Raw genomic sequence first — 17,042 nt, forward strand, 5'->3', positions numbered from 1 at the left:
CACATATAAATTTTATGTGCCCCCAAAGTAAGGCATTTCAAAATTCTGAAAAAGGAAAAACACTAGCTATATTCTAATAGTTGAACTGGCTCATCTGAGTTATAGTAATAGTACTTTGGATTCTATGCCCCAATAAGACCAATGCTTTTCATTTAACTATTTCATGTCAAGTCTTTTTAATGCTAATAAGCAAATTAACCATTCAGTGACTTTTAAAACTACCTAGAGTATCATCACTTAGGAGACCAAATACAAAAGTCATAAATAAGATCAAACATTATTATTAAGGGCAGAAGCTATGTCTGTCTCATGCTGCTATGTCCCTAACCCCTACTCCAGTGATTCATGTATGGTAAGGACTCTAAATATTTCTTTCTAGATGAATGAAATAATATTTTTACACTGCCATATATGTTCAAACATTCATTTGTATGTTTATTTAAATTACTTAGACTTATGAGCTTTGGTCTGCTAAAAATTTTTAGTTAACTCCATTTACTTTTAAGTGCATTTCTAATTACATTAAATAAGCAAACAGTTGCAAAAACACTTACAATTTCAAACACAGTGATTTTGTACAATTACAGGGCTTTCGGGGCCGACTGGCCGACTCTGATGGGATTATGCTGTACAGATAGAAAAAAAGATATACATTTAATCAATTAATAGTAACTAAAATTAATTTAGTTGCTACAACTAATTTAAAATTTAAAAAATTAGACCTAAAACTAATTTAAAATTAGAGAAGTCTCCAATCTATAAATCCCTCCAGAAATAAAGCTTTAACCAATGTTAAATGTGTCCATCTAAAATAAAAAGTTTGCTACGTTGTTCTATTTACACTAGGTTCAAAGGCAAGTTGTAACATGAAAGAGGTAGAGACAAGTATGGAATAATTTTTTTAAAAGAAGTTATCAATAGCTGCTAAAGAACACTCCACAAACACTGTCCCTTCTAAGAAAACAAAAGTTGAGATTGCCTCAAAACTCTTGGGATTCAATTATAAAAAGCAGTGAGGAAAAGGAGTGTGTGGAGGAGGAAATGGAAGTGGGATGTGGACTGATTCCGGGTAATTAAGCACGGCTTCTAAGCTGATATTGCAAAAGCCAGTAATTAATAGATAAACAAATAAACATCAACAAAAAATGAGGACCTCACATAATTTTAAAAATAGTTGGGCAGGTGCAGTGGCTTAAGCCTGGAATCCCAGCACTCTGGGAGACTGAGCCAGGAGGATCACTTGAGCCCAGGAGGTGGAGATTAGCCTGGGCAATATAGTGAGACCGCATCTCTACAAAAAAATTTAAAAATTAGGAGAGCATGGTGGCATGTGCATAGAGTTCCAGCTACTCAGGAGGCTGAGGCAGGAGGATTGCTTGAGCCTGGGAGGTTGCAGTGAGCTGAGATCACAGCACTGCACTCCAGCCTGGGCAACAGAGCAAGACCTTGTCTTGAAAAATAAAGATAAAAAATAGTTAGCATCATCATTTTGGAAACATACTCAGAATGAAAGAGAATAATAAAACTAGTGTAGTGAAATTGGTGAATCTGAATAGAGTATTTGGGAATTGACTATTTCTGTAATTTTTCTGTTTGAAATATTTCAACAAGTATTTTAGAGGCATGCTCACATGGCTTTAAGGGGAAAAAAATAAAAGAGGATGTAGTTTGGAATATATATATTTACTGTTGCATTTAAGCTGATCTAACAACTTATGTACCTATTTTCAAAATACTCACCCATTGAATGGAAGCCGTGCCTGGGTCTGGATACCAGATGTTCCAGTAAAGGTAGAGTTGCTTGCTATTGATACATATGAAGACTGCTGTAGCTACATGTAAAGAAAATTAATTTTAGATCATATTTCCAAAAATGGACAATACTGTCAGGTATGATGATCAGTAAGAAATACAAATTCATCCATTAAGATAAGAAAAACACAATGGAGAATATCACACAAACACATACTTCACAGAGCTCTTTTAAAGACTCAAACCAATACTATAGGTGAAAATAATGTGAACATTTTACAGTACTACATAGTACAAATATAAAGAAAGTATTTCACAGAAGAGTTAAGTATGTCGGAATGATAGGAAATGCTAGATGAATGCTCTCAAAGTACTGTAATAACTTGTTTGGGCTAGAAAAATGCAATGTGCCTACTTACAAATAAAATAGGTACTATACTGATCATTTATCACACTACAAATTACAGAGAATGAGAAGTTACATGCACAATAGTTGAGTTTCTATTTTACACCAACTTCTAAACATTAGAAATGCTTATGACAAAAATACTGAACATTATTCTTTTTATCAATAGCCACATAACATGTTCCAAAGTGTATTTCATTAAAAAGTACACGTGTGGGTTTGTTTCCCCGTCTTTCATTCTAAAGATGACCAGTAAGAGTAGATAGATCGCTGAAGATATGTCACCTGGAAATGCATCTCACAGTTTATTTTCCAATAAATAAACTTGGGCTTATTTTCCAAGTCAGTGGCATCAAATTTATGTGTGAGGAAGAGCTTTATAACAGCCACAGTCTTTTCTAAATTCATTTGGACTCTGCTGATTTTAACTTCAGTCTATTTTCTATCATATCGCCACAGGCTTGCGCTCCTGCCAAGCTGCTCTCAGCTCCAAATTGTCTGACTTGTATATCTGACCTGTGTTATATATTTCTAAATGCTAAAAGTACATAGAAATAAACTTAAAGGTTTGGGTTAACATTTTAAGATTTTGGAAAGTGCCACTTCAATACTGAGTTAGATGTGTTTGAGTAGCTTCTGTGATAGCACTAGACATCTTGGACCCCATTATCACTTTTGCAATACAATGACTTCATTTTTTCCACATACCTGAGTAACATACTGAGCTGGAAGCACTGCATAACCCACATTCCCTGTTCCCGGAGCTGGTGCCAGGACAGTGCCTGGTGGCAGGTTAGTGAGGTTGGGCTGGATCTGTGGCAGTGGTGTGGCAGGCATGATAAGCCGTTGCTGTGGCTGGCTAGTAGTTACTATTTGTGAAGTTGGATTGATTGGTTTTGGAACAACCTAAAAAGAAGGGACATATATCAATGACCACAAAATAAATTTTACAGCTGTTCAATTCAGTATAAATCTCTTGCACCTAAATCTTAACTTTCTATTTAAAAAGTAAATCGTCTATTTGGGAAAGACTGAGAAAGAAGTTATGTGATACTTACTTGTTTGACAGCCTGAGCTGAGACAATTGGAACTGACATCCGCACTGGGGTTGTATTAACAACCACTGGCTTTGCTTTTTAAAAAACAAAAGAAGGATGAACAAGTTATTTACAGAAAATAGTATTTAAAACACTTAAGAATACTTAGCTCTCCCAAGTTATTCTCATAAAAGAGCTTAAAGAATTCCATTTGATTCCTAATTTGAGCAATCTTTAATCAGGATAGTTACCTTTCAAAATTGCTTACCCCATCTACCAGAGAACTTATATCTAAGGTGGCTACAGTCTATCCACTTTGTGAGGGAATATTTGTAGGTTCAAGACATTCAAATGAAAATACTTCAATCTGTATTCAGATGATTTATACATTCAGTACTAAATCCAGTCAAATGAAATGTATAAATAAAAGAACTGTCATTCATAAGCTTGAGTAACAACAGCACTCTATACTACTATTTCTCATTGCTCTTTCTATTCAAACCAGAGAATATATCATTCTTGGGTTTTTGTTTTTTTTTGAGACGGAGACTCACTCTGTCTGTCACCCAGGCTGGAGTGTAGTGGTGCAATCTCAGCTCACTGCAACCTCCGCCTCCCAGGTTCAAGCGATTCTTGTGCCTCAGCCTCCCAAGTACCCGAAGTTACAGGTGTGTGCCACCATGCCCAGCTAATTTTTGTATTTTTAGTAGACACTGGGTTCTGCCATGTTGGCCAGGCTGAACCCAATGTCTCGAACTCCCGACCTCAGGTGATCCACCCGCCTTGGCCACCCAAAGTGCTGGGATTATAGGCGTAAGCCACTGTGCCCAGCCAGTGTAATTCAATATTTACAGAATACATACTAAAAGGCAGCACAGCAAAAAGGATAAGAACATGGACTCTAAAGTCATAAGACCCAGGGCATTTAAATCCCAGTTCTGCCATTTTCTAACCACTTAAGCTCTCTTTGCCTGTATCCTCATCTGCAATATGGGGAATATCTACCTTATGGCATATAAGGGTTAAGTATATGTTAATTCTTGAAAATTGATCAGAACACTGCCCTACAAATAGTAAATGCTCACTAAATGTTAGCTGCCATCATCGTTGTTACAACTGCTGCTACTATATAAATGGCATTGTAGCCATTGTTTCAGGAAAACTAAAGCACTAGACCTCTGCTGTCAGGGAGATTATATTCTAGTTCAGCAGATTAGGCACGTGTCCAAATAAGATAAATATTATTAAAGAAGATACATGAAGAGCTGTGGGAGTTAAGAGGATATATATATATATATATATATATATCGTTGGCAGAGGATGGAAATATAGAAAAAGCACACGGAGGACACAGTATTGAGATGGGCCCCAATCAATAGGCTGGCCGCATGGAGGGCACATAGACTGGAGAAGGGCATTTCACACAAAGACGGAAGCATGAGAAGTGGAAGCTTAATCTTGGGAAGCTGCAAAGCATATTTACAAATGTTGGTGAACAAACCAGTCTGGCTAATACCTGGGATTAACGCAGACAAATACAGGCAAAAAGGCAGATTGCAGACATTTATGGAGGACCTTGAATGTTAGGGTAGGACTCTGTATTTAATCTGTATTTTTAATTCAGTACGCAATGAGAAGTTTCTAGGGATTTTTAAATACAGAAATTATATTGAAATAAAAGAAAAATTAATTGTATTTGGCAGCAGTGCATAAAACAGAATGGAGTTGCAAGAGACAAGTCAGAAGAGTGCAAAAAAATGAGGGTCTGATCTGGAGTGATCTGGAGTGACAGCAGTGGGAATAAAAAAGAGAGAGCAGATGCAAGAGACCTGGTGTAGGTGAAAGGACCATGACTTACCAACCACTGAATGGTAGGAACTGTAGGTATAAGCGAAGAAAATGTAAGTCACTGCAGAGCTTTCAAGTGACCAGGAAAATGACAGTTATTAGAACTAAAAACTCAAGGATGAGCTATTTTAAAGGGAGGATGAAACTTGACATGGAGAAATACTGGGATGAAATTCAGGAAAGACATTGGCACTAGACATATACATTTGGACCAACAAGAAGTGCAATTTTAAAAACTGCCTACTGCCATTTCCACTGTTAAAAGCAGATTTAAGAAGATAGAAATGACATCTCTTCAGGTTTCACTGATGTAAAAGTAAGGCCTGGAGCCTGGTCTGAAAGAGAGGTTGAGAGAATTCTGAACAAAACGAAAAAGAATAAATTTCCTTAGATAGAAAGGCTACTATGATATCAGCAGTTTTTTTTTGTTTTTGCTTTTGGTGGGGACTGGAAGGATGATGGCTAAAGACAAAAAAGCTGAGAGTCCTAGAAGAGAATCTTAGAGTAGGCACTCTGATTTAAAAGGCAGCAGCCCACTGCAGCAAGGTGACAAACTAGGGTGAAGGAGGGAGAGCAGGAGACGTCTAGAGAGAATATATGATTAGTGGTGATGGTTGCATAATTTTGTGAATATACTAAAAACCAGTGAATGGTATGCTTTGAAAGGGTGAACTTTATGGTATACATGAATTACATCTCAGTAAGGTTGTTATACAAAAAGAGTGTAAGACTCTTTTCCTGTATGAAATACCAGAGCAGTGTGACATCTGATACCCAGTTTGAAGTTGTTCCTGTTCTGTTTGAATTTTCCTCAATTATACTGAACCATTAGCAAGGTTATAATAACCATTGTAGATTGGTCTCAGCAATGCTAGAAGGAATTAAAAGGAGAGCCTGAATTCCTGCTTGGGACACAGGAGAGTGGACTCCCTCCACCACCTGCTCCTGGGAGAGATGACAGTCGCTGTTCCATGAGCACAGTGCAGTGATTCTGAAGTGAGAGCAATGACCAGTGGAATCCAAAAACTTCCTGGTGGTCCTGAGAAATAACTGGGAAGGAGAGTGACCTGCCTTTCATCACATTAAATGGGGACTATCCCTGCCTTCTCCTCATACACATGCACAAATGTGTGCGTGTGCGCGCGCACACACACACACACACACACACACACACACACCCTCCCTCCCTCCCTGGCCCGGTAAAGAAAACTTAGAAACTCAAATTTACATAGGTTTGACACTTGCATACTGAGTTTTCACTGAAGCCTGGGGAATGAAGAAAATATAAAACCAAGTGGTCATAAAACAGAATACTATAAAATACCTAGGGAAGGGGATGTTATGTAACTAGGTCAACCATCTGCATTTCTTGTCCTCCTTACCTTAGCGCACATTACTAACTACTACTTCAGTTTTCATAGAAGCTGGCATAATTGTGTAGTTTTTAGTCTTTGGCAGGAACTCTGAACAATCCTTTAGAATAGCCTCCTTCCAAACTTCAGAAACCATACCTGCAAGTGTTTGAGGCTTTTTAACTTCTTAAATTGGTTTCCTCCCTCACCGAGATGACAGGTTGTATTCTGAAAAGGCTAACCAAGCACTTTCCTGAGTCCTTCTACTATTCTGCCTACCACTGTACCAACGATTAACATGGTGGAGCCTTTGAACATTAGTTCTTGTGCAACTTTCGGGGGAAAATGTACAAGATAAGCCCCTTTGGCATTTAAGTAAATTCCTCATAAAGAGACATTAATATTTGATGAACTAGAGCAACTATTTAGTGTAACTCTAATAAAAATTGTATTTAACTTGTTATTCCTGTGAAATAATATATATTATATATATCCAGATCTTTTATGGGACAGGAGACAGAGACAAAAAGAGAAAAATATAGATGGATATAAGGGAAATAACATGGGCGTATATGTATGTGGCTGGGTGGGAAGAGGGTATAGAGTGAGGTGAAGAAGGCAGAGAGATATAGTGGAGAACAGAGAGACAGTGTTCAAGGTGAAAAGCAAAAAAGGAAGCAGAAGGGAAGCAGAAGAGTGGTGAAGGACTGCCAGGTGGCAAGGAGAAAAAGAGAAGTAGAGACAGGCAGAAAGACAGACATAAAGCTGGAAAAGAAGGCACCAGTCAATACTGATTTTTTTTTTTTTTTTTTTTTTTTTGAGACAGAGTCTCACTCTGTTGCCCAGGCTGGAGTGCAGTGGTGTGATCTCAGCTCACTGCAACCTCTGCCTCCCGGGTTCAAGTGATTCTCCTGCCTCAGCCTCCCAAGTAGCTGGGATTACAGGTGTGCACCACCACGCCCAACTAATTATTGTATTTTTTCGGTAGAGACAGGGTTTCACCATGTTGGCAGGGCTGGTCTCAAACTCCCAACCTCAAGTGATCCGCCCACCTCAGCCTCCCAAAGTGCTGGGATTACAGGTGTGCACCACCATGCCCAGCCAATACTCTATTTTGAAATGTCCATCCCATTCCTCCACTCTCCCTGGATCTTCCTTATACTAAAGGCATACTCTTGCTAATGAATAAATTAATGTTAACATTAATTAGGTTTAATCCATTATATGGATTCTCAGCATACTATTATACGCATACAAACACACACATAAAATACAACCAATTATATATAATGACTGCTTTCTATCATCATCATCACACTACCTAAGTAGATTGGACTTATAGCACTTCTCTCAGTACCCTGCTAAGTTTAAGTATTGAGAGAATATAAAATTTGACTCCCTTAGTCAACAATATGGTTTTTTCATTTTTCCCCTCATTAAGATTATGATAATGATTTTATTCCAAAATCTTTTCTAAAAAGAATTAGAAAATATAACTGCTTGCTATGACTAATTTAATAAGATATATACTAAATACTGCTTACTGTTTTCTCCCTTCAGTAATTTGAAAGAGAAATAAATAGGTTTTATTCTTCTATAGGTTCCCTCAGGTGAACCACCTATCAGCAACAGGTAGCTCCAAATCTCTGATTTTTTTTTTAATTTTTAATTTTAGACTACTCAAGTATAGCAGTAAGAAGAGGAAAAAGGTAGAACAAGGAGTTCCAACTGTAACTGTGAACAATCAATCAAGCTAATTCACGACCTTCAGACTACCCTCTGATCTCTTTTTTGTTGTGTTTTGTTTTTTTTGAGATGGAGTCTCGCTCTGTCGCCCAGGCTGGAGTGCAGTGGCGCAATCTTGGTTCACGGCAACCTCCGCTGCCCAGGTTCAAGCGATTCTCCTGCCTCAGCCTCCTAGGTAGCTGGGATCACAGGCACGCGCCATCACACCCAGCTAATTTTTGTATTTTTAGTAGAGACGGGGTTTCGCCATGTTGGCCAGACTGGTCACGAACTCCTGACCTCAGATGATCCTTGGCCTCCCAAAGTGCTGGGATTACAGGAGTGAGCCACAGCGCCTGATCTACCCTCTGATCTCTTAATAAAAATCAAAGAGTAACCAACTAGTCTTTAATTCTTCTATTTACTTTCGATAAACAATATATCACTTAATTGCCATCAACTGCTTCTTGACATTGTCAGAATATAAAACAAGGAAACACGTAAGCCCTAAACTATAAACTATCCCGATCCTTTCATATCCCTCAATTTTTAGAAAAGTAGCTAAATATGAAAAAGGTCATTTATGTGTCTATGGATGTATATCAGGTGGTAAGAAGGGTTAAACACAAACATAGAAAATAGAAGGACAACAAACAGGAATATCCTTTAGGGAAAATACAACTAAGCAAAATAAAACATTTTAATCACTTTTTTTTTTTGAGATGGAATCTCGCTCTGTCGCCCAGGCTGGTGTGCAGTGGCATGATCTCAGCTCACTGCAACCTCCATCTCCCAGGTTCGAGCAATTCTCCAGTCTCAGCCTCCCAAGTAGCTGGGACTACAGGCACACACCACCACACCCGGCTAATTTTTGTATTTTTAGTTGAGACAGGGTTTCACCATATTGTTAAGGCTGGTCTTGAACTCCTGACCTCAGGTGATCCACCTGCCTCAGCCTCCCAAAGTGCTGGGATTACAGGTGTGAGCCACCGTGCCTGGCCTTTTAATCACCTTTTTAGTAGCAATTATAGATTCAAAATAAGTAAAAGCTGAAAGTGACATTAAGTTCTTTCTTACTTACACCTTGCCTATTTGTCATTTCAACTGACCCAAACCCTATCAAGGGGCTTTATAGTTTAGCAAATAAAATACATAATACGGTTCCATCTAAATGTATCCCACTGGCATAAATGGCAGGTTTTAAAACCAGCAATAAAATGGCTAACCACGAATTAACAAATAATTACTATTATCTGGTATAATACCACACTGTGTACCAACATCTAGCAGAAAGAATACTACAGTTATGCGCAACTATCATTCTATTTCACTGCCTTCTGCACCAGTTACTGGCTCAAACTCAGTTGAAATGCCACTCTTCATCAGGATTTCAGCAAGAAATGGACAAATGTTCTTTAATCATGTTAAAAGCATGAATTACTGTTTTTAAAAAATGGTTACTAACCTTGCTGAAGAGGCTGAGTGTTTGTACTGGGATTCTGACTAACTGGCTGGGTTGAGCTACTGGCTGATGTGGCAGTAACAAGTCGGACATAATGAAACTTGCTTCCAGGCACTTGAATCTGCTGGACATTGGGAGCAGTTGCCAGAGGAATAATTGTCTTAAACTGTGATGTGCTCACTCCTCCAACAGTGATGGTCTGCACAGTTGATTTCACTGCCTATTAAACAATACAACATGGCTGTCATTAATCTGGGATGTAACTTTCCTACTATTTTTAATTTATAACCATTGCTCAAGTTGTAAAGTATGCTCCTGTATTGCATCAAAAGCTGCTGAAAGGAACAACCTGTTCAAAGAGAAATGAAAAGAATGGTAATAAATACAGAAATAAAACCAAAATTAATGAGTTCTACCTTCCATCTCTAGTAGTTAACTTCCTTGGTAGTCCATTTCAGATGACTTGCTATGAAGAAATTATTACTTAATTTGCAAGTACTTACACAACTTTGTTAATATCAGGTAAAATTTATAAGAAAAGAATTATTTTAAAATTCCCAGAATTAAGCCCCATATTCAATATAGAGAAAAGATGATATAGATGGTTGGCATTATTGCTACCCACCAAAATAACTACAACAAATTTTATATTCCCATGTTCTGTATGTTTTGTATTTTTAGTAGATATAGGGTTTCACCATATTGGTCAGACTGGTCTTGAACTCCTGACCTCAGGTGATCCACCTGCCTCAGCCCCCCAAAGTGCTGCTTTTTCCCAAAAGAAAAGCCTACCTGATACCCTTACTAAGTTTAGTAAATTCTGAAAGGCATAATACTCCCTAGGTATAAAAGTACCCACTAGCATATGGGCAGGAGGCCAAATTCAGTCCAAAATTACCAATTTTGTTTGTCTAGGGAAACTAGTTTTGTATTCCCTGAGTCAAAAAAAAATTTATATATATATATATATATATATATATATTTTTTTTTTTTTTGAAGACAGGGTCTCATTCTGTCACCCAGGCTGGAGTGCAGTAGTGCAATAACGGCTCACTGCAGCCTTGACCTCCTGGGCTCAAGCCATCCTCCTGCCTCAGCCTCCTGAGCACGTAGGACCACAGGTACCACGCCCAGTTAATTTGTGTGTGTGTGTGTGTGTGTGTGTGTGTGTGTGTGTGTGTGTGTTAGACACAGGGTCTCACTTTGCTGCCCAGGCTGGTCTTGAACTCCTGGGCTCAAGCAATCCTCCTACCTCAGCTTCCCAAAGGGTAGGGATTACAGGTGGGAGCCACAATCATTTTAATTGATTAAAATGATTTAATTATTTTTAAAATTAAAGACTGATATTAATCCTTTTCTTTGGTCTGACAAAAGGCAATGGGAATTCCCCAAAAGCTAAATGAAACATCTTAGGCAGAGCAGAACACAATAGTCTTTTGAGAAGTCCCTAACTGCTGTTTAACCAATGTACAACACACTGTCATACAATGCAAAGGATCAAAGAGTCTCTAACCAGATATATAGTATTATTTTATAAATAATTACATCCTCACCTACTCTATAAAAAGCTCTCATGCTAAAAGACAACTGATGTATGATGGAGGAAATATGTATTCACTATATGGATAATAATTTATGAAACAAGAATTCTAAATACTTTTATCATAAAAGTCCAGGAGAAAACAAAAATAATGCCATTTAGTTCAGAAACATTATAAAAGACATTACTTCCGCATAAAATAATTCACATATTATCATAAGCAAAAACCAGATTCAAAATAAGAGATAACAGCAGCCATACCAGTGAATTAAATGAAAACAGAAAGCATAAGAAAAATGATTAAATGTATAAATATGGAAGCTACTGAAAAATCAAGCAACCTACGAGACAAGTACATACAATGGTGCAAAAGACATAGATAGTCCTTACTATATCCGCTCAAAATGGGGGAAAAACACTAAGTACATTAGGAAACAAGGTGCTTGAAACATAATAGTTACATTTATTGGGTACTTAATATGCATGGAGGACAGTACTAAAAATTCTATAGAAGATTATCTGATCTAACAACCACACTATGAGGTAGTTATGGCATGGCATAGTACAGGGGTTGGTTGAATTAAGTTTGTTTAGTATACATTTTTCTATTGCTCTTCTAAAAGTACATTTGATTGTGTATATTTAAGGTATATCACATGATGTATGGGATACATATAGCCAATATACATAAATGTTAGTATAATGAAGCAAATCAATATATCCATCATCTTGCATAGTTGTCCATTTTGTTTGTTTTTGTGGCAAGGGCAGTTAAAATCTACTCATTTAGCAGGAATCCCAAATACTGTACAATTTTGTTACTTATAGTCCTCACACTGTATATTAGATTTCTACACTTGTTCATCCTACATATTATTTTACATCCTCTCACCTAGTTCCTCTGCTACCCCCACCCAGTAACCAGTTTTATCTTCTATCTCTGTATATTTGACCATTTTTTTCCAGATTCCACATATGTGAGATCACACAATATTTTTCTTTCTGTTTCTCTTGGCATAATGCCCACCAGATTCATCCATGTTGTGGCAAATGGCAGGATCTTATTTTTCAAGGTTGAATAATATTTTATTTTATATATATACTACAGTTTCTTTACTCATTCATCTGTCAACAGGTTGTTTTCATATCCTGGTTATTGTGAATAGTGCTATAATAAACATGGAAGTGCAGATATCCTCAGGAGGTGGTGATCTCATTTCTTCTGAACATATTCCCAGAAGAGGGATTGCTGGGTCATGTGGTAGTTCTATTTTCAATTTCTTTAGAAACCTCCACACTGTTTTCCATAATGGCTGCACCAATCTACATTCCCACAATCAATATACAAGGGTTCCGTTTTCTGCACATCCTCACCAACATTTATTATGTTAACTTTTGATAATAGCCATCCTAATGGGTGTGAAGTGGCATCTCATAGTGGCTCTCATTTTCCATTTCCCTGATGATTAATGATGTTGAATACATTTTCATATGTCTGTTGGCCATTTTTGTACCTTTGCAGAAATGTCTATTCAGGTACTTTGCGTATTTTTTAATTGGGTTGTTTTTCTACTATTAAGCTGTATGAGTTCTTTTGTTGTTGTTGTTGTTGTTGTTGTTGAGATGGAGTTTCACTCGGTTGCCCAAGCTAGAGTGCAGTGGTGCCATCTCCACTCATTGCAACCTCTGTCTCCTGAGTTCATGTGATTCTCCTGCCTCAGCCTCCCAAGTAGCTGGGAATACAGGCACACGCCACCATGCCCAGCTAATTTTTGTATTTTGAATAGAGACGGGGTTTCACCATGTTGGCCAGGCTGGTCTTGAACTCCTGACCCCAAGTGATCGGCCTCCCTCAGCTTCCCAAAGTGCTGGGATTACAGGCATTAGCCACTGCACCCAGCCTGAGTTTTTTATAAATTGTAGATTTTAACCTCTTATCAGATATATGGTTTGCAAATGTCTTTTCCTCAATCCATAGGCTGCCTTTTCATTTTATCATTTCCTTTGCTGTGCAGGATATTTTTTGTTTAATGCAGTCCATTTATTTTTGCTTTTTTTTTTTTTTTTTCCAGATGGAGTCTCACTCTGTCACCCAGGCTGGAGTGCAGTGGCATGATCTTGGCTTGCTGCAACCTCTGCCTCCCAGGTTCAAGCGATTCTCCTACCTCAGCCTCCCAAGTAGCTGGGATTACAGGAGTGTGCCACCACAACTGGCTAATTTTTATATTTTTAGTAGAGATGAGGTTTCGCCATGTTGGCCAGGCTGGTCTTTAACTATTTTACAAGTTGTAAAGTATGCTCCCAAAGTGCTGGGATTACAGGTGTGAGCCACAGTGCCCAGCCAGCACAAAACTATTAACTAAACTACAGATCATATTCCGATTTCACCAGTTTTCATGCACACTTTTTTGACGTGTTAGTCCATGTAATGTTATCACTTGTAGAGATTCATGTAATCAACACCACCATGAAGATATATAAAATTCTTCCATCACCCCAATCTCCCTTGCACTATGCTTTATAGTAACACTCTCTCCCCAGCCCTAACCCTTAGCAACCACTTATTAAACCACATTTCTTAGCATCTAAAAAACTAAGTAACATATAAGTTACTACTTAAAAACTGAAAAAGACAGAAGGATTTTACACATTTCATTGCTTGAGAGAATTCACAAATTGGCCCCTTTCTTCAATTACAGTGGCCTGCAAAGAACAACATGTGAACATCTCTCTGAAAATACACCCATTACATAAAACAGTTCACGTGCATTCAGTAAAAATCTTCATTTGGAGTTATCTCTATTTCCTGAATAACATCTTTAAGAGTTGGGCTAAAAAGCAAATATCTTAATTTAGATTCAAAATAGCTATGTTTAACATATATAAGTGACTGCCCTCAAAAACGCGGACAGACTTGCAAGACATTTCTTTTTGTACTATTTTCTAAGCCATTTCTTTTTACAGATTAATATAATTATATATTTAAGATAATTTCTTGGATCATTAGTTTCCTATTACTAAATGCCAAAAGTCCTTACTTAAAATTGCAGACTTACCTAAAAGAAAAAGAGGAATAAAACATTCTTCTTTTGTCCTCACAAATGAATATTCTCTTTTACTTGGTGATTTTGATACGTATTTGTAGATATGTAGATAAGAAAATACAGAGATATAGCTTAACCAATATCCAAAAACACTGAATTTGTATAAATACGTATTAATATAGTTTTTAAAAATTTGTGACAATGGTTATAGAGCTTATCATCATGGAAAAGCTATGATTACGTTACCCTGATCCCCAAATTGTAGGTTATTAAAATAAATAAACCTAGCAGGAAACAAATTTGCAAGCTTTAAAATACTTTCAAGCTAAAAGAGACAAATGATAAAGTAAGAAAAGATAAATATTAAATGTATTACATGACCAATGACAGTGAATCTTAAGATGCACGAGAACATTCAGCACTGATGTATTGACTGGTGAAATATTACAAAAGAGGTATAAGCCATTCATTTGCTATTTTTCCATGGATATTAATCCAACTTATGTTTTATTCATAGCTATGAGTTATAGCGACATGGATGAGTAATTTATATGTGGTGTATTAGTATCCATGGTAGCAGCCACAGAAGGAGTCCAATGATGATATGAAGCAAAATTAGACAAACTATAAGGTATCAGGACCAGAAACCAGCCCTACTAAGGATTAAAACATATTTATCAAGACAGGGAAAATAAAATAGTATGGGATTAGCCTAGGAACAGAGTGCTAAAGATCAAAGGAATACATTTTTAAAAATCCATATATAAAAAAGTTTATAAAAGTGGGCATCTCAAATCAATGGAGAATGATAATAATGTGGATTAGCTACATGATCTGAAGAAAAAAGCTGATCCCTATACCTCATTCCTTTTAACAAATTACAAATGGATTTAAGATTTAACCTAAAAAGTAAAACCACAGCTGGTATTAAAATATATAGACTAATAGAACAGAATAGAGAGCCCTAAGGAAAAAAAAATCCCATTTATGATCAAACGATTTTCAACAAGGGTGCTGAGATAGTTCAACAGGGAAAATACATACTTTTCAACAAATGGTGCTGGGAAAACTGAATATCCGTGTGCAAAACAGTGAAGTTGGACCCTCACCTACCTAACAAATTACACACAAATGAACTCAAAAGAGATCCATGACCAAAATGTAAAAGCTAAAACTAAAAAAAACTCTTAGAAGAAAACAGGGCAAAGCTTCACAACACTGGGTCTGGCAATGATTTCTTGGATACAACACCAAAGGTGCAGACAATCAAAGAAAAATAGAGAAATGGATATCATAAAAATTTTTAAATTTTGTGCATCAGAAAACACTATCAACAGAGTAAAAAGGCAACCCATAGAATGGGAGAGAACATTAGCAAATCGTATATTGATAAGTGATTAACATTTAGAATATACAGAGAACTCCTAAACGTAATAACAAAAATAAGCAATCCAATTTTAAAATGAGCAAAGAACTTGGATAGAATTTTCTCCAAATAAGATATAGAAATGGCCAATAAGCACATAAAATGGTGCTCAGCATTACTAATTATTAGGGAAATACAAGTCAAAACTACAATAAGATACTACCTCACATCCATAAGGATGGCTACTGTCAAAAACAACTGTTGGTAAGGATGTAGAGAAACTGGAATCTTTATGCACTGTTGATGAGAATATAAAATAGTACACTGTGGAAACAGTATGACAGGTCCTCAAAAAAGTAAGAACAGAATTACCATATGATCCAGCAATTCTACTTTTGGGTACATACTGTATTCAAAAGAATTAAAAGTAGGGTCTTGAAGAGATATTTGTAAACTCACGTTCATAGCAGCACTATTCACAATAGCCAAAAGGTGGAAACAACTCAAGTGTCCACAGACAGATGAATGCCTAATCAAAATACAGTGCATATATATCCAATGGAATATTATTCAGCCCTAAAAAGGAAGGGTATTCTGATGTATATGCTATAACACCAATGGACCTTCAGGACCTTATGCTAAGTAAAATATGCCCATCACAAAAAGACAAATATTGTATGTTTACACTTATATGAAGTATTATAGTCAAAATTATGGAGACATTAGTAGAATAGTGACTTCCAGGGACTAAGGAGAGAAAAGATGAAGGGTTATTTTTAATTTCTTTAGAGACAAGATGTCGCTTTGTGGCCCAGCCTGGACAGCAGTGGTGCAATAGCTTAGGCACTCGCGAGGCAGCGATTGCTGCCTCAACTTTCTGGGCTCAAGGGATCCTCCCATCTCAGCCTCCTGTAGGTGGGCCTACAGGCATGCATCACTACGCCCAGCTAATTTTTTAATTTTTATAGAGATGGGGGTCTCACCATGTTGCCCAGGCTGATCTTGAACTCGTGGGCTCAAGCAACCCTCCCACCTCAGCTTCCCAAAGTGCTGGGGATTACAGGCTTGTGCCAGCATGCAAGACTGGAACGGGGAGTGACTGTTTAAAGGATATAGAAATTCAGTTTCACAAGAAGAAAACAGTTCTGGAGATGGATGGTTGTGATACTTACAGAACAATATGAATGTACTTAATATCACTGAACTGTATAATTTAAAAAGATGGTACATCCTATATTACGTATATTTTGCCACAATTTTAAAAAATTGAAAAAATAGCTGGGTACAGTGACTCACACCTGTAATCACAGCTACTTGGGAGGCTGAGATGGGAGGATCATTTAAGGCCAGGTGTTTAAGACCAGCCTGGGCAACATAGCAAGACTCTGTCTTTAAAAAAATAAAAATAAAGAAAAATAGATATCCACTTTGCAAGCTAAGTTATGAAAATCAGTCAGTATCGCCCTGGCATGCAATGGCTCACATCTGTAATCCCAGCAATGTGAGAGGC

At 37.2% G+C, this 17,042-nt stretch overlaps 1 protein-coding gene across 10 annotated transcripts in view; it reads right to left on the reverse strand.

The window, feature by feature from the left end:
• LIN54 (lin-54 DREAM MuvB core complex component) overlaps positions 1-17,042 on the reverse strand; it is an 88,339-nt gene that overhangs the window by 12,070 nt on the left and 59,227 nt on the right. For 9 of the 10 annotated variants that reach the window (NR_110254.2, NM_001115007.3, XM_017007728.2 and 6 more), the window contains 5 exon segments: positions 9,586-9,802; positions 3,217-3,290; positions 2,867-3,064; positions 1,741-1,832; positions 555-626 (listed from right to left, as the gene is read on the reverse strand). Coding sequence is in view for 8 of the 10 variants with exons in the window: in NM_001115007.3 (NP_001108479.1) it covers positions 555-626; positions 1,741-1,832; positions 2,867-3,064; positions 3,217-3,290; positions 9,586-9,802 (653 nt within the window). In the remaining 2 variants the exon portion in view is untranslated. 10 annotated transcript variants of the gene reach the window in all.

This window comes from Homo sapiens, chromosome 4 (assembly GCF_000001405.40).
Source record: "Homo sapiens chromosome 4, GRCh38.p14 Primary Assembly".
Classification (NCBI taxonomy): domain Eukaryota; kingdom Metazoa; phylum Chordata; class Mammalia; order Primates; family Hominidae; genus Homo; species Homo sapiens.